Raw genomic sequence first — 19,483 nt, 5'->3', positions numbered from 1 at the left:
TTTGGATGGTTGTCAGCAAAATTTTATTGAACTTAGGGATTAATACAGCTTTGTAATTCCTATAAATAAAAATAGTTTGTATATCCTTTATTTAATTGATCTTAAATTCTAGAACATTTCGCGTCATAAAGTCCAAACAATATACACTGAGTTCACACTTTCTGCAATGCCTACCATCTCAAGTTAAAAAAAGTCTCAAATTTTGCCTTAATGTAAAATGGCTCTAATAAGATATATAATATTTTTGTCATATAAAATATTGCATATTGACAGCAATATCCCAGTGGCTGATTTATTGATAATATCTTTGACCATTTGAATTTTTTTTCCTATTATATATAAGGAAATACAAACTAGGTAACAGGAAGAAATGAGAAAAGGTAGAGAGAGACAATAGTGAAGACTGGTGGACATTGGACTACAAAAGATTACTGCAGGATTCTTCTATGATGCTGATTACAGCTTTATCTTATCAAGCTTTGGCATTGAAGACCATGTGAATTCATCTCCAACCCTGGGAGTGAAATAAGAACTTTCTTTTTTGCTTCTGAAATTTTAAGCTCTATACGGAAACACTTTTTACTTAATCTGCATGACATCAGAGAAAGGTATTATTTTCTGTACTTTGCAGATAATGAAAATATACCATCATACCATAAGCCACAGGAAGAATAGAGAGTCACTGGTTACCCAAAGGCATTGACTCCATGGGGAAAACAACTCTGAGGTCTTCATTTCCATTCAGTTGTTCATTTATTGCTAACTCTCACGTTGTAAGCTAGAGAAAAATATGAAAAGAGCAGTTTTTCAAAGCAGACAAAAAGAAAACATTTTCTCTGGAGGAGCAAAGAATTTTTACATTATTTTCATTTTGCTAAACTTTAGGGAACAATTTGACCAAAGAAAGAAGAAAAAGTGGATTAGCAGATCTCATGGACTGAGAGTCTCCAGATGGTAGGAGGTCCATTCAGCAGAAATACAAATGAGAATACGATGTTTCTAATGTATTTAATTTGGAGAAAAACATTTTCACATTTTTTCAATAAGCAAAGTTAATCACATTACATTTTACCTTTGGTAAAAGAATATTAATTAAATTGATTATGCTCACACTAGAGAACAATATAACATATCATAGTCAAATAACGTTTATGTTTATATTCATTATTACAAGCATTAAAAAGAAATAAATAGTGTTGGCAGATATTACTTAAGCAGGCAGAGTCTCCTATATCTGGAAATTTATCATTTATACTGCTAGAGTTAAGGATATTTTAATAGTATTTAATTAACTAAAATTTAAGAGATTACTGCTTTCAGCCATTTAAAAATTATTAATTGAACGTTGACTACCTGCTTGGTCTGTGTTTACCATTATCCATTAAGAGCTTGTTATTTAATTGGGGAAATCCAAGTCAAGATACAGTAAATACGCAAGAAACTTATCAAATATTTGAATAAAAATAATGGCACCCATATTTTATGGTGTATTTATAGTATTGTTCCTGAAAAAATAAGAAAAACTATTAATATCCCCCTCCAAAAACACATGGAAGAAATTTCCCATTTTTAAAAATTATTAATATTCTCATCTAATAAATGCTATTTGGAACTATCATATTGGAAATAAATAAAATACCTTTAATCCAATAATGATATCATTGAAGAAATGAGTACCCTCATATAGTTACAGTGCTATTATAAATAACTAAAATTTCTGGAGGTATTTGTTTTACATATACCAGAAAGTCTTAAAATTTTACATTCCAGTTAAAACATATATTCAATATTTAGTAATTCATGCTAAATTATCATAAATATTTCCAAAGATGTCGATAAAATAAGCCTCACTGAAAATATATTTATATAAAATATTGAACAAGTAAAATGTTCATATCCACATTACAAACTGATATGAGGAAATTCTATTCTGTCCAAAAATGATACAGAATACGTAAAGACATGCAAAATGATTATAACATAATAAAACATAAATTAGATGATTTTTAAAATCTCTAAGTTCAGTAAAAATCCAGAGAAATCAAACTGAATGTGGATAAAGGCACCAAAAAGTGGAATGAATAAAGTCACGTACATCGGACTGTGAAGAAAAATCATGTTTTGGAAAAGCTGTCCACACAATACAAGAATTTTTAATCGAAGAAAAATTCACTGGCAAAGGTACAGAAATAGCAATAATTATATAGTGTACAGGAAATCAAAAGAACCATGGTTTACTTTGAATGAAAATGAATGATTGGAAGGAGACGGAAAGGGGAGAATATAATTAAGATTATTACAGCTAGTATTTATTGAAACTTACTCTGTAACAAGAATTGTGATAAACATTTTAAATACACTTACTTATTTAAATATCTACCACTATTCATTGAGGCAGGTAAGTACTCCCAATCCTGTTTAACAGGACAAAGTGCAGAGAAATGGTTGACTGAGAGTTCTGGAGGCAACTTGCCTTCTTTCCCATCTCAGCTCCTCTACTATTGGCTGTGAAAGCTCATCAAGTTACATAGCTGCTTTATGACTCATATTAAAATAATGACAATAACAGTACCTAGCTCAATTATTGCTATAAAAATTAGATAACTTAACACATATAATGTTATGATACTGTCTAGCAAATGGTAAATGCTCTAAAATTTTAATTTTATTTTTTAAATTGTATATAATTATTACAAGTACATAATAGTTGCATATATTTATGGAGTACATGTGATGTTTTTACACAGGCATACAATGTGTAACAATCAAATCAGGGTAATTGGGCTATAAATTGATTCTTAAAAATTCTAAGTAATGCTCAAGGTAACACCACTAGTAAGTAACTTGCAGAATGGGGACTTGAAGCCAGGTCCGTGTGATCACAAAGCCTGGGCTCATAAGTACCATGCTGTCTCCTTGGTTCATACCCATAGGCTACAGTGAAATGCCTTCTCATACCTTGGAAATAAGGGAAGATATATTTTCCTCTGATTTGATACACAATCAGAACAGAAGCACAAAAGAGCTCTTTGAAAAAGAGAATGGTAGACCTCAGGCTTCCCACACCCTGAGTTAGGTTCTGTGTTTGTAAAGAAATCATGTGTTGATCGGCAGAGACTTACCAGCTTTTGAAACCAAAAGAAGAGCATCCCAGGGGAAGTATGCATGGAAGCACCAAGAGGCATGGAGGGAATCAAAGCCAAATGGCTGTAGGTATCCCATCTCCATTGGCTGAATACTTCGAGGCTTCAGCCTGCTGTGAAGAAACATTTCATTCATTCTACAGTTTGATTCACTTGGTTCTTCTTTGGCTTCTCACTGCAATCTATCTTCAGAAAAAAGCGCAGTGACAATGCCGCATGAATATGGAAGTCTTTGTAACACATTTTCATTATATTTTCATGCACATTGATTTTCTGAACCAATCTTGTTAATATGAATAATTTAAGTTGACCGCATATTTTATTGTTTAAACCACAGTACTTTAAGAGTAAAAAAGAGCCCAATCAATGCCATGGGAAACCAGGCTGTAAACAAACTCTCATGGGAAATTTGGGGCTTATCATCGGGCTAGGTCAATATGACTTAATGCCTGAGATTTTAAAATATTCTCTCCATCCTCTCTCCTTCCCCAAATTCAATTTTTCAGCCTATAGACTGCATAGCCTAATACCCTCAGGGTAATTGTGCTTGAATTAAGGTAATGCTTGATATGATTTAAATGATGTCTGTGTGATCTTGGATAAGGTACATAATGCTTTAAGCTATAATTTCCCCAGTTTTCAATTGCAAATAATGATATCTATCTGTGAGAATTTATATACAACACACACACGCCCCAAACACATATTTACATATGTATACATACACATACACATAAATACATTAGTCCAGTGAATACTCAAAAACTGGTAGCTGTTATTATGTCTCATGACTCTAATGCCACTCTCTGAGGCCTCTTGTGAGTCAGGCAGTTGACTTTTCTTAGGCAACAGTGCTCTATTCCACTGTGTGCTTTTTTCAAACTTCTACATCTGCTATGTTCCAAGAATAGTCAGTCCTCTATGTACTAATATGGTGAGAACAAAGCCATGTACCTCAGTTCTGCCTTCCACCAAGAGCTGGCAATAGTAGTTGGTTTCATAATAATTTGGATGTACAAATAAATATACTTGCAAACTACCTTTAAGTAGCTAAAAAGTTTGTAAGTATGGATGTTTCTGTTTTATGCTAGAAGCATTGTCATATGTAGATTGTCTGACTAGGAACAGGCCATTTGTGGAAGAGGGAATAAAAATCCTTAGGGATGAGATTTCACCTAGGGAAAAATGACTTTTCAACTCTAGATGATGTTTCCTAATTACAGGAAAATTTGAGGATGCATAAAATTTGAAGGCATTGGGAGTGCAATTGGAAGGCCTAAATATAGAAGTGGATGACTAGAATTACAATAAAAGGACTCCCCAGTGAGTGATTATAGAAAGAAACAGAAACGACCTTTGGAGAAACCTATAGTTAAAAGGTGATAAAAGGAGCAAAGACAAAAATAGGACAGAGATGTAAGGTACAAAACAAATAAGTGTAGTGCCACTGAAGTCAGGGAAAGTGGACTATGAATGTGAAAAGGACTTGTAAGAAAAGCAATAACAAGAAGAGCGTGACACTTTCTCTGTTGTTATGACCCTTCTTTAGTGTCTGATAACTTCTGAGAAATATGGCATTCATTTGCCAAAATCTACTGGAGGGAGAATATAACATTGAATCAAGATTTCTAGTATTTTGTGATAAATGGTTTTAAGTGATAAGTGAAAACCTGTCTTTTTTGCTGAAAAGCTCACTGCTATTTTGATTATGATATTAAGGAGGTCTATTGTAGGCTGCATGTAACACCTCAGAGAGCCTGTGACAATGATGCAGAGTTGATAGATCCATGGCTAGCCTAATTGAGGTTTTCTTAAATATTGTATGGCTGTGTGGAGATGGCATCTTGAATCACCCTGGATCCAGAAATCCTACAGAAATGCTTAAATAGTCACAGTCACAGCTAGTAAGGATACCTGAGGTCTCTCAGCTTTATGACTGGTGTACATTATGTGTAAAACACCTTTTATAATCATTCTTGAATAGTTTAACAAGCTCTGGCAGGACTCTAATAGATTTGGATTTTTTTGGAGAAGTATTGAAATACAAAGTGGCAGTAATTGTGTTTTTTTTTTTTTAAGAAAGCACACCATGTACATCCACATTTAGAATAAGAATAGTTGCTCCTATATAGAATATATGCCATCCTGGCCAGACGTGGTGGCTCATGCCTGAAATCCTGCCACTTTGGGAGGCCGAGGCAGGAGAATCATTTGAGGTTAGACGTTCAAGAGAATATATGCCATGCTTATGGCACATTTTAAAAAGTTTTAATTCTTTTTATTTAAAGAAAAATACCATAAAAAATATTGTTTCCCATGGAAATCTCCAAATCTCTTTTTCCCTTCTAGCTTTTTTTGACCTTTGTCTACATGACTGTTAAATTGCACAAAATCTAAATTCTTATCTACATTTGTCTGACATTTTGAATTCTAAAAGAACATATGAATATTTAAAATAAGCTTTAATAAAATTTTTCATTAAAAACCAATTATTATTCATATTTCATTTAAATCTAGTTAATGCAGAATATATTTATTCATAAAGAGAAGGAATCCACAAAAAAACTGTTATTATATTCTAAATAAAGTTGATATCAACTGGACCAAATTTTAATATTATCTACAATTAAGAAATGGTGGGCCTTTAGGATATTTACAATTTCATTATCAAGAAGCACATTCTTTTCGCCAAGTAAATGTTTTATTGCCATATAATTCTAAATTGTTTATAAAAATTCTGTTACAAAACCCACATTCTTTTCTTGATAATTCAAATAATTTAGAAAAAACAGAGCACTCATTGTTTCAGAAGTATAGCTTATGTACATTTTTATGGAAGTTTATAATTGTTTAATTTTTTCCAGATGTTTGGTATTTTTGAAATGGTTATCTTACTATCAGATTATATGCATTATTTATAATGTGTACATATTCCTTATTCAACATATGTGCTTGCTTCAGTTAATATTAGAATATCGCCCATATTTGTTTTTAAAAGGCTCACCAACATTATAATAAACTAACTCAAATTTTCCTTGTTCCTCCTAACTTAGCCACTTCCAAAGCTGTGTGACCACAAGAACCTACTTAACCTCTAAAAGCCTTCTATTCCTCATCTGTAAAATGGGGTCATCATTAACTTGCAGAGACTTTGTGAATATTCAATGTAATGTCCACCACGCACTTGGTGAAAGTTAGGTGCTGAATATTGCTGGCTGTTAGCAGTAAATGAAATTGAGATCAGCAAACTCTACCTCCTTCTAAAGAGATATCAAGAAAGAAGTAGCTAGTGATCATAGCGTTTCATATTTTCGCCATGAAAATATTGACTACGTACATCATTGACAAAGTCTTTTACTGACCCTATGATACTCACTCAATGCCTTTATATATGCCACACATGCTGAGATTAGAACAGTCATGCAGTTTTTAACAATCGCACTTTAGGCTCACAGAGTCAGATAAAAAGAGATTTTATCAAGCCAGTCAAAAGATCTGTTGATCGGTATAAAAACATTACTTGAGCATAAATTTTCATTAAACTTTCCCATATGTAACACTTAAATTTGTGAGAATCAAAAATAGGTATCTGAAGAAATAGACGATCGGTCTCCTAAAACATAATTTAAAATTCTTTCTCTCCTTCAATAGATTTGTTTTGGCCCTGACCTAATTTCTATGCTAATTCAGAGGGTTTACGATTGCTTTATTCTTTGCACAGCCTGTATTTTTTCCTTCTTTCAAATCTCCCAGGGATGGACTCCAGGAAGTAAGGCATATGCATCATCAATAAACCACATTTAGTTAACTGTTCTTTATTCGGCAACTCCTGATCCACTTCGTGGAATTTTCTATGCCCTTCATTTCTTTCCCTCCTCAATCCCACCACCTTTCTTTTGATGATTTCGCTGCTCATTATCACCTCTACCAGAGGTGAGAAGGAAGAATGTGAAATTAAAATGAGTTGAAAATGACTTTTAAAATTTATTTTCAGGATAAGGAGGAAAAGTTGAAAATGTTAGCTAAAATTAGGCCTGGGGTTTTCTAATGACTTCACACAGTTATTTTTATCCCTGTTAAAGTGATGCTAATTGAGTTCTGAAATGAAAGGACCCTTCCATCCTATCTTATTCTTTCCTATTGGAATATATAGGGAAAGAGGAGAAATGTACAATCTATTTACACAAAGTTTTCTAAAACATAAAAAAGAGTCATCAGGACGGAATAATGCTTACAAAGGTCCCATGTATAAGTTGCACAGTACAGCAGTAAATGTTTTAGAATACAAGTTTTATAGTAAATTAGCTCATTTGGACCTTCTTCTTGCAAGTGTGTAAATGTATGTTTATTTACTGAATTAACTGTCCAGCTTTTTTAGCAAAAGGCCTCACTGCTGATTCCCTGTTAGTCTCACTATTAATTTCTGAATCGTGTAGGGAAATGAAGTAGGATTTTTTCAGTTTGTGTGATATACTTAAAAAATAATTAGTACTTCAGTAGTTACTTAAAAATATTTGTAAATATTTGTAAATTTGAACAATGAATAAAATAAAATAAAGTTTAGAGTAACTCTTAAAATCAAGGCTTTTGATCTTAACCGTAGATGGTTTAAAAAATATACTGTTTTTACAGGTTATCCTCTAATATCAGAGCAATTGTGAGGTTAAAATCTAGTACTATTATAAGAAATGGGAGTATTTTCATAATTTGAGTCAGCTATAAGTCATCTTTCTTACTGTCACCTAGCATGTAAAATGAGGGCTAACTAGGTGATCCCTAAAATTATCCAAAGCTTTTCAGTACTTTCAAGTATACACACAGCTATACACACATTATATATTTTACATGTATACATTGGGAGATTTAAGTTAGCCACACAGCTTAGACAAGTTATATCCATGTGTATGTATCTATTTACGAAGTAGTAATGGACTAAAGAATCCTTTCCTTCGAAAAGGCATCATATAACACATCTATGCCTCCAATTTTTTTTATTTTAAATGAGTGATAAATGTTTGTTGAATAGAAATACATTTAAATGTGTGTGGGCCCTTTATTTTCCCATTCTGATGAGAAAGGCATACCAGAGTAGAAAGATCACATATTTTGAAGGTCACAGATCAGGCTCTGGACTAGCATGTTATGTATGGCTATAAAGCTGGTATAATAATAACTATATTATAAAACTGCTGTGAGGATTAACTAAATTACATATGTCAACCACCTAGTAGCATGTTTGAAACATAATTGACACTAGGTAACCAATCTATCATTTCTCAGGTATTTTATTGGTTTTTCAAATGTAATCATCCTTTTAACCTTGATGATTGAATCAAAAAAGAATACAGATATAATATTTCATTGTATATATATTTATTATATGTTATATTTATATGTGGTATATTTTACACTTTTACATATGTACCTATATATTAATAATATATTTTGTGTACACATGTACATATATTTTAATTCATCAAAAGGGACTTCTAATTTTAAAAATTCTATTAAGACAAAGAGAAATGGCCTTAAAATAAGGTAATATTCTAAACTTATATTTATTTGCAATTATGAATTAACCAGAACATGTACACGGTTATGGTTCAAGATAGTTTTAAATATCTGTGTATATAGTGATTACATGAAACTTTGTGTATACCACAATATTATTAAACTAATCTAAATAGTGGAAATAGATTTAATTGAGAAATACAAATAAAACTACCTGTAAAGCATAGTGCTTCAAAAATTTTTTTTAAAGATTTAAAACGTAAAAAGTTTACAGATGGTATCTTTTTTCCTCATCTTTTTTTTTTTTGAGATGGAGTCTCGCTCGCTCAGTAGCCCAGGCTGGAGTGCAGTGGTGCGATCTCGGCTCACTGCAAGCTCTGCCTCCCGGGTTCACACCATTCTCGTGCCTCAGCCTCCAGAGTAGCTGGGACTACAGGCGCACGCTGCCACGCCCCGGCTAGTTTGTTTGTTTGTTTTTTGTATTTTTAGTAGAGATGGGGTTTCACCATGTTGCCCAGGCTGGTCTTGAACTCCTGAGCTCAGACCATCCGCCCACCTCAGCCTCCCAAAGTGCTAGGATTTCAGGCGTGAGCCACCGCGCCCAGGCAAAGATGGTATCTTGATATATACTTATAATCTTGCTCACATCTTTGTAGTGGAGATAATAAAATTACAAAAAGAAGGCTTGCAGTAAATGAAAAATAGTATGTTTTAGTGATAGAATGCAATAAGTAATAATCAAGTTAACCCGTGTATCAGCATGCAGTGTCTGTTAATGCCAGATATGAGGTAAGCAATTTCATGCATATACGTGCATGAAGTGTGTAGGGGTCTTTTTTTATGAAATTGAAACAGAGAAGTTTGATGACTTGTCTAAAGTCACACAGAACTTAGCAACAACCCAGAGAATGTAATCCACTCCTCTGGCTCAGCTCAGTGCACCGTCTATTGTATCCTGCTGTTTTCCTTGTCTATAGGAAAAATAGGCTTGGGAGGCATATAATCTAACTATTCTTCTAGATCGATTTTTACAAAACATGTGGGAAGCAGGCCCAGAGCAATTGAGACGTCTAAGAAGTTCATAAGTATTATTTTCAAGGGACTAATAGCATAGAAGCTTTCTGAGTCATCGTTAGAAATATGTGACACCAGAAGGTAGGTCGCAGGCTGGCATCATAAGGAATAAGAGTTTGGGAATGCTTTCACAAGGCCCAGAGAAGGGATACATGGGAAGAAAGATGTCTATTTAGTCCTTTTTATTTTATTTAAGCCCAATTAGGGTATAAACATTGTGTAAAACCTTTGGATTTTCAGAGAGGAAAGATAATAACAAGTAGTTCAGTGAATGGTTTGAAATGCGACGTGGAAGGTATTGTTCAATATTATGCCAAGATCTCCCAATCTTGATGACAAACTTCCATGCAGGGACTTTGCAATCACCGTAGTCACTTAAAGCAAATGTGGTTGTTAGTGTCGTTCCAAACATTATTTTCAAGATGTGTTCAATACTAGTGTTTCAACTTACATGAAGAACTTTTGCTATAATTCATGTTTATGGTTTTTAGAAACACTCTAGAGAATAATTATGGCCAAATGGGTATATTTAATTTCTTTTCAACTTAATAAAGGGAGGTGTGGTAATAACCCTTTCCACAGAGACCAGCTGGGTGATAGGGTCAGAAGACGAAGATTCTGCTGGTGTAGGCTGGGGGAAACACTTTAAAAAGGAAGTGCATCTGTACTACAAGCAACCACTGCAAAGTAGGGAAAGGGAGAGTAAGGGGCCAGGGAAAAGTAAAAACTTGAGATATAATTACAAAGAGAAAATGTCACTTCACCTGGACTATCATCATAAACAACAGCTCCTGTACAATGTCCTTATAACAAAGGAAAAATGAAGAAAATAGCTCCCTACGTTTCCACCAAAAAGGTGGATGATCTTAACTTGTTGCAGAGGGCATGAGCTGTGAGCGGATAAACAGCCCACTCTGCTGCTCTGTCTCTGGGGGAGAATTGTTGCAGACTGCAGGTTCTCTGACTGCTGACAGATTGCCTAACTCTGGCCGTGGGCCTCCAACTTCGGGAAGCTGTGGGTATTGTATAAAGATGTAAGTTAAACACGTTTCAGAAGCAGCTTGGTACTGATTTGGGGAGTCAAGTATGTTTCAACTACAGACCTCAAAGTAAATATTTACTAATATGGCAAAAGTTCAGCTGTAGGGCAGAACCAGCAGCTAAAAAGCACAAGGAGGGAGATCATGCTTCCCTGGCTGCAGCTTGTTTACCAACCTTCAACTCAGATGTGCATGTTCCTTTGAGTGTGTGTGTGGGGTGGGGAGGAGGTGGAGTGGGAGAGGGGTAGGGGGGTGAGGGGTGGGGTGATGGTGATTGGGGGCTGAGGTTTACCACTTCATCAGTGCTCCATTTTCACTGTAAAGGGTTTGAAGGAACTGATTTTACCAGCCAGGTTCAAATTGTATGCCAAATTTGTATTATAGAGAGACTTGTGAACTCCATGTACAGCCCCATTTGCACAATAACAAGCTGTTACCCTCCAGGTGTTTTGATGTAGTGTGTTGTCCATATTTAGGACTCTGTGTTTAGGATTATTAGAAATGAGGAGAAAATAGGAAGGATAGGAAGCAAAACAGTTAGCTCAGCCAAGCAATTTATATTCTAGTTAGCATTTGGTGGAAGGGGAAAATTGAAGTAGTTCCTACAGAAAGCATATGGAAATCAGGTATCAAAGACCTTTTTTCACTCTAGGCTCAGTCACTGGTCATTCAGCATGTGAGGTTTTATGTTCAGGACCCTGCAGAGGATATCTGGAAGCCTAGCGATGAAGAGAAATGTCTTCTCAAGGAAAGGCCGAATCATGGGCTTTTCCATTACTTACATGGCAACCTGCAGATCAAAAAGTGTTTCAGAGGCTTAATGCACTGGAGTATCCCACTAGCCTTGATTTTATAAATGAGGAAACAGAAGGCCAGGAGTTAGGTGACTCCAGGTTACATAGCTATTCAGTGTCAAAGCCATAGAAGATAGGCAATCATTTGGCACCACACTCTTCCACAATTCCTTTATGAAGGACCAGTTTTCCAGTAGGCAATCCAGGAGAAAGAAAGAGAGAGAGAAAGGGAGAGAGGCAGGGAAAGAGGGAGAGAGTGAGGGAGCGAGGGAGCTAGGGAGTAAGGGAGGGAGGGAGGAAGGAAGGAAGAAAGGAAGGGGGGAAGGGGAAGAGGGGAAGGGGAAGGAAGGAAAGGAAGGAAGGAGGAAAGGGGGAGGGAAAGAAGGGGGAAGGAAAGAAGGAAGCAGGGAAGAGGAAAGAAGGGAAGGGGGAAGGGGAAAGAGGGGAGGGGGGGAGAGAAGGAAGGAAGGAAACAAGGAAGGAAGGACTAATTTGAAAAATAACCAATGTTTTACCTAGGCTTCAGTGAATACCTCCCCCTCCCCACACCAATTTACCGCTTAGATAAATATGTTTAAGATTACTTGCAGGCAGAACTACTTGTGTTACAGCACAATTGTTTCTACTTTCCCCTTGGCTCTTCCCCGCATCCAGAAGCCACTACTGCCTCTAAAATAAGACCACAAGGCAAACACCCAGAGACATTTGAGCCTCCAACTAGGAAACTAGCAGAAGCTCTACCACTGCCCACAGCAAAGATTCAAAATTGGGGTATGTCGAAACCTTCACTGAATTCATATATTTACTTTTCCGGTTCACCCTACGTTACACAGAAGTTGAGATTCCTTCCCTCCGCTGAGAAAAGTGCATTTTCTTTCTCTGTGCCAACACTGCTGGATCCGAGGCTCCAGGAGGAACTGTTGGCAAAGCAGGCGTTTTGGGACCGCGCCTGTGATTGCTCTGTGGCGCCGACTTCCTCTCTCTGTTACATCCATATACAAATGCAAGCTTATTTATTTATTTTAATTCTCCCTCTCTTGCTAGCAACCTGTGGACTTGGCATCTGACTGGTGCGGCAAGGAAGGAGGCTGGTAGGTAAGCGCTACTGTGCCCAACCCCGAGCTGCCTCTTCGCAGTCTTCAGGAGCAAGTCCCCCATTCCAGCTCCTCTGGCAGAGTATGGAGTTACCTGCGTCCGGGGCAGGAAACCATGAATGTGCCCTTCTGCCCTCTTGCCTTTCTGCCACTCTTTGAGTTCCCGTCCTTAATTGAAGAGCCAGTGACTATTGGCTGAAGTTCCCCCAGCGATTTGCATGAACCGAGAGGGAGTGTCTTCTGCCGCCCTCCCTTCAAGAGCGCTCTGACTGCAGCCTCCCAGGGAATGCGCGGCCGAGGGAATGCGCGCAGCTCACAGGCCCTGGGAGTGAGCTGGTGCCCGGCGACCTGGCACCCGCGCCTGGATATGGGGCGTCTACATCGTCCCAGGAGCAGCACCAGCTACAGGAACCTGCCGGTAAGGGTTAGGGTCAAGGAACCCCGCGACCCCGACAAGTTGCAGTATTGTGAAGCAATTCCCACTCGGATGGTTTTTCAAACCTTCTACCTTTATCTAAACTTCACGGGAAGGATGGCGCCGGGAGGGAAAGGGAGTTTGGGATAATGTGTCTTCCTTTTAACAAGGAATAGGGAAGTCCGTGGGTCATGAGAGGAAGTTTCTGAAGCAAGAAATGTATCCAGATAAGGTCGAGGGCATCGGGGGTGCGCTCAATCCGCTTTAGCTACAGGGGTTCGGGATCGTTTCCTGCTGCTGGCGTCTGGCTATGAATGCCTACTGCAATTGACAAATTGTTTTTGCATAGCCATTTTCCGCGTTTACTTTGCTTCCCCCTAAGGGAGGGGGATTAGTGACTGCTTGGTAAGGGGTGGAAATCCAGATCCTTTCGGTTTGATTTCAGATGTGTGCTAAAATAAAAATCACTCTTTCCGACCTAAGACCTAAAGTGTTGGAGGTGGAGGAGGAAGTGTTGGTATTTTTTCTATATTATTATTATTATTGCGATTGTGGTTGTTTTTATGGTTCTCTTAGTAAGGGATGTAACACACTGCGTGTTCCAGCACTCTAATGGCAGAATCACTTCAAGGAGAAATAAATTGCCCACCTTTCAGTGCTCTCTACTACCAGCCCCCTCCCTCCCCATCACCTACCCTGGGTTTCCGTGTCGCTTTGCGCAGTCTCTGAGTCGGAATCCTCTCCACTCCGGTGTGTGTTTCCAGGGATGTTTTACGGTTTGGGATTCTGAATGTTAGCTGGATGAGGGTGGTGATGGGGAAACGAGGGGGGAAGGCGGGGGCGGAGGGGATAGAAAGTGAACAGCAAAATTAAGTTTTGGAGACGATATTGCCCCACAGATCTCTCCTTCGCAGCAGGGTTCTTCTCCGCCCCCGTTCTAATTAGAGGTTTTGCTTCTGGGAACGGGGATGGGGACAGCAAGGATCACAGGGGCGCTAGTTTCTCTCTCGGACCCCTATTTCCCCGTGTGTGTAATGAGCTTTCTTCCCTCCCCCAACTCCAGCATCTGTTTCTGTTTTTCCTCTTCGTGGGACCCTTCAGCTGCCTCGGGAGTTACAGCCGGGCCACCGAGCTTCTGTACAGCCTAAACGAGGGACTACCCGCGGGGGTGCTCATCGGCAGCCTGGCCGAGGACCTGCGGCTGCTGCCCAGGTCTGCAGGGAGGCCGGACCCGCAGTCGCAGCTGCCAGAGCGCACCGGTGCTGAGTGGAACCCCCCTCTCTCCTTCAGCCTGGCCTCCCGGGGACTGAGTGGCCAGTACGTGACCCTAGACAACCGCTCTGGGGAGCTGCACACTTCAGCTCAGGAGATCGACAGGGAGGCCCTGTGTGTTGAAGGGGGTGGAGGGACTGCGTGGAGCGGCAGCGTTTCCATCTCCTCCTCTCCTTCTGACTCTTGTCTTTTGCTGCTGGATGTGCTTGTCCTGCCTCAGGAATACTTCAGGTTTGTGAAGGTGAAGATCGCCATCAGAGACATCAATGACAACGCCCCGCAGTTCCCTGTTTCCCAGATCTCGGTGTGGGTCCCGGAAAATGCACCTGTAAACACCCGACTGGCCATAGAGCATCCTGCTGTGGACCCAGATGTAGGCATTAATGGGGTACAGACCTATCGCTTACTGGACTACCATGGTATGTTCACCCTGGACGTGGAGGAGAATGAGAATGGGGAGCGCACCCCCTACCTAATTGTCATGGGTGCTTTGGACAGGGAAACCCAGGACCAGTATGTGAGCATCATCATAGCTGAGGATGGTGGGTCTCCACCACTTTTGGGCAGTGCCACTCTCACCATTGGCATCAGTGACATTAATGACAATTGCCCTCTCTTCACAGACTCACAAATCAATGTCACTGTGTATGGGAATGCTACAGTGGGCACCCCAATTGCAGCTGTCCAGGCTGTGGATAAAGACTTGGGGACCAATGCTCAAATTACTTATTCTTACAGTCAGAAAGTTCCACAAGCATCTAAGGATTTATTTCACCTGGATGAAAACACTGGAGTCATTAAACTTTTCAGTAAGATTGGAGGAAGTGTTCTGGAGTCCCACAAGCTCACCATCCTTGCTAATGGACCAGGCTGCATCCCTGCTGTAATCACTGCTCTTGTGTCCATTATTAAAGTTATTTTCAGACCCCCTGAAATTGTCCCTCGTTACATAGCAAACGAGATAGATGGTGTGGTTTATCTGAAAGAACTGGAACCCGTTAACACTCCCATTGCGTTTTTCACCATAAGAGATCCAGAAGGTAAATACAAGGTTAACTGCTACCTGGATGGTGAAGGGCCGTTTAGGTTATCACCTTACAAACCATACAATAATGAATATTTACTAGAGACCACAAAACCTATGGACTATGAGCTACAGCAGTTCTATGAAGTAGCTGTGGTGGCTTGGAACTCTGAGGGATTTCATGTCAAAAGGGTCATTAAAGTGCAACTTTTAGATGACAATGATAATGCTCCAATTTTCCTTCAACCCTTAATAGAACTAACCATCGAAGAGAACAACTCACCCAATGCCTTTTTGACTAAGCTGTATGCTACAGATGCCGACAGCGAGGAGAGAGGCCAAGTTTCATATTTTCTGGGACCTGATGCTCCATCATATTTTTCCTTAGACAGTGTCACAGGAATTCTGACAGTTTCTACTCAGCTGGACCGAGAAGAGAAAGAAAAGTACAGATACACTGTCAGAGCTGTTGACTGTGGGAAGCCACCCAGAGAATCAGTAGCCACTGTGGCCCTCACAGTGTTGGATAAAAATGACAACAGTCCTCGGTTTATCAACAAGGACTTCAGCTTTTTTGTGCCTGAAAACTTTCCAGGCTATGGTGAGATTGGAGTAATTAGTGTAACAGATGCTGACGCTGGACGAAATGGATGGGTCGCCCTCTCTGTGGTGAACCAGAGTGATATTTTTGTCATAGATACAGGAAAGGGTATGCTGAGGGCTAAAGTCTCTTTGGACAGAGAGCAGCAAAGCTCCTATACTTTGTGGGTTGAAGCTGTTGATGGGGGTGAGCCTGCCCTCTCCTCTACAGCAAAAATCACAATTCTCCTTCTAGATATCAATGACAACCCTCCTCTTGTTTTGTTTCCTCAGTCTAATATGTCTTATCTGTTAGTACTGCCTTCTACTCTGCCAGGCTCCCCGGTTACAGAAGTCTATGCTGTCGACAAAGACACAGGCATGAATGCTGTCATAGCTTACAGCATCATAGGGAGAAGAGGTCCTAGGCCTGAGTCCTTCAGGATTGACCCTAAAACTGGCAACATTACTTTGGAAGAGGCATTGCTGCAGACAGATTATGGGCTCCATCGCTTACTGGTGAAAGTGAGTGATCATGGTTATCCCGAGCCTCTCCACTCCACAGTCATGGTGAACCTATTTGTCAATGACACTGTCAGTAATGAGAGTTACATTGAGAGTCTTTTAAGAAAAGAACCAGAGATTAATATAGAGGAGAAAGAACCACAAATCTCAATAGAACCGACTCATAGGAAGGTAGAATCTGTGTCTTGTATGCCCACCTTAGTAGCTCTGTCTGTAATAAGCTTGGGTTCCATCACACTGGTCACAGGGATGGGCATATACATCTGTTTAAGGAAAGGGGAAAAGCATCCCAGGGAAGATGAAAATTTGGAAGTACAGATTCCACTGAAAGGAAAAATTGACTTGCATATGCGAGAGAGAAAGCCAATGGATATTTCTAATATTTGATATTTCATGGTGGAATAACACAGAGAAATGTTTTAACTGACTTTGGATCTTCATCACCTAAAAAAGAGTGTGTTGATGGCAGTTCCAATGAAGGACAACTAATTTATAACTTGTTCTATATTGTAAATAGCTGTTTACAGGTTTTTAAATTTAAATTCAGAGGTTATAAAATGTGTACAGCATTTTTAAGTGAAAATTAGTACTAACAGCTATAGGACTTGTATTTAAAAAAAAAAAAAAAGCTTGGACATGGTTTGCAGCTTTCATACACCAAGCAGATGATTGATAAAACCTGGGAGTAAGGTAAGAAAAATGGAACAAATTTTTATCTAAAAATTCCTGTCACCACAAGAGGGCATCAGCTGCTCCTTTGCAGGAAACTGGGGTATTGTACTTGGCAGTTGTACATGAAATTAATGAAAGAGTATATTTTAAATATATTGTTTTTAACATTAAACAAATATGAAATTAAAGTAAATTAAATTTCACCCTATTTAAACATATGATAAAAAAAGAAATGCACTTGTAAACAGAATGTTTATTACCTCATAAGTGCATATATAGTGTGAAAGAGAAGGCATTAAAAAGAAGTGCAATTCCTTTTTAGCAAGGATAAAATCATTGCCTTGTGTTACAGATTCAGCCTGCTGAAGAGTATTCCACTTTCTGTGTACTCGAATTGCTTTCTGTTTGCTTTACCACTGCACTTGTTATTATTACAAGGGAAATAGATTTATACATACATATATATATTCTTCATTACAGGAAATGTAACTAGATATTGTGCCCAAGAAAAACAGCCAGAAGCAAAGAAATGCTTCAATCTTTAGTTGCTTCATAGGCATTCATGACATTTTAGTGCTTTCACAACTTGTTGGTCGTACTTTATACTTGGGTTATATATTAGACTTTTATAGGCTTGAAATCATCCATCACATAAGAAAATAGAAATCATATTAAAAGTGAATTCTTCTAGAGGCTTGTGTACACTACTGGTTGTTTTAGTTGGGCCTTTTATATGAAAGTTATACTGTACTTATCTTTTTGTTGTTGTTTAGGTTTGTTGACTACCATTTCTGGCTTCCTTTCTTTGGTTTTGGATTAAATCCAACAGTTTATTTGTAAGCCCTGCAGCAGATTTCTTTGATAATTTAGCTTTTACTGAATCTCTTGCAATGAAGAAAGCTATTTCATCAGTGATTTATCACTTTCAATTCATTGTGTGAGCTGGAAATATTATTTTATATGAGAGCTATAGCAAAATAATCTGTATAAACAAGGAATGTGTTAGCTTAAACTGGATCATTTTACTTTTTGGCATCATGCATCTGTACTGTACCAAAAGTGTTTATATGTCTGCAAATTAAAGGTATATATTTTCATAATTTCTTTCTCACTTTTAGCATTTTATATTTGAACATGGGCTTGTTATTTCACTGAAGTGCCTGTCATTTGTTTGTTTTTAGGGTTAAATGTGGGTAACCTGTAGTATTCTGCTATACTAAAGTTTATATTAAATGAATTCATTACTCAATTAAACATTGGGTAAATTATTAAATGTGTGTGTAGTTATAGACATATATATAGTAGAAAGAGAGTATGCCTAAATGTTTGATGTAAGTTCATATGAAAATTTGCACCCATGTATGTGCACATGCATATTAATTTATTATAGATTTAATATCATTATAAATTTTCATTTTACTACAGATTTATAACAAATCCTCTGTTAGCTGTGTTGCAATAGCTTGCAATAATTTTTAAAACAAAAATACTCTACAAAAAAGACATTGAATGCAAACAACCAAGTTCTTTTAGATTTGTATTAATTAACTCATTTATCTTATTTTTCTTCAATTTGAGAATTTCAATAAATAAAATAATAAGTATATGAGGCAGCAATGTTTGTTACAAAAAGTAAATATATTTTTATTGGAAATTCCTTTTGTACGAGAGGCATCTGAGCTAAGAGACTAAGATCATTTAACCCCCAAAACTTTTCATTTATAACTGATATGTAGCAATGGAGGAAACATCTCTTACTAGTCATATTTTATTTCTTATTTCTCTTTTTTAAAGAAAGGAACTTCATGAGATAAAAGTAACACTATTTATTTTTAAGAAGCCTCCATAAGTGCAATAATTTTACCATCAGTATAAATAGCACAATTTTCGATTCATTTCCAAATCTGAAGAAGGTTCATGTGTTTTGGGGAATGGACTTGATCTCCAGCATGAGAAATGCCTGTAACATTAATAAAAAGATGTATTTCTGAATAACTTCTTGTGGCAGGATTTCCTTTACAAAAACATCTCATTCACATTAAAAACATTAATAGCGAGGAAAGCTAAACTAAATTAAACTAAAAGATAAAAGCCCCTTTTTACTGACACCTTGTGCTAGAATAGTTGCCAAAATGTATGCTAATCATGTCAATGTTGTTAGTTGAGCTGGCACAAAAATAAATGTTCCATTCATTAAAACCCCTAATATCCATTTAACAGTTTGTGAACCAATGAGTTCTCTTTGCCCAATTTAATGAAGAAGAGATTGCTGTGATCTTTGCACTGCCAAATTCACTCTTACACTACAGAGAAAATTGTTCATTAATTTGAATTGGGAAG

General features: G+C 37.7%; 1 protein-coding gene and 1 long non-coding RNA gene across 2 annotated transcripts; both read left to right on the top strand.

The window, feature by feature from the left end:
• The first annotated feature begins 154 nt into the window (after positions 1-154).
• Positions 155-3,412, top strand: LINC02339 (long intergenic non-protein coding RNA 2339). The gene is made up of 2 exons (NR_134946.1): positions 155-608; positions 3,115-3,412. It is a non-coding gene; the product is annotated as a long intergenic non-protein coding RNA 2339 (long non-coding RNA).
• Positions 3,413-12,251: 8,839 nt separating this feature from the next.
• PCDH20 (protocadherin 20) lies at positions 12,252-18,416 on the top strand. The gene is made up of 2 exons (NM_022843.4): positions 12,252-13,074; positions 14,135-18,416. The coding sequence occupies exons 1-2, from the start codon at positions 12,943-12,945 to the stop codon at positions 16,856-16,858; spliced, it is 2,856 nt and encodes a 951-aa protein (NP_073754.2). The 5' UTR covers positions 12,252-12,942; the 3' UTR covers positions 16,859-18,416.
• Positions 18,417-19,483: the final 1,067 nt, after the last annotated feature.

This window comes from Homo sapiens, chromosome 13 (genome assembly GCF_000001405.40).
Source record: "Homo sapiens chromosome 13, GRCh38.p14 Primary Assembly".
In the NCBI taxonomy this organism is placed as follows: Eukaryota; Metazoa; Chordata; class Mammalia; order Primates; family Hominidae; genus Homo; species Homo sapiens.
Note: the sequence above shows the minus strand (reverse complement) of the source record. Positions and strands in the feature narration are given on the sequence as shown.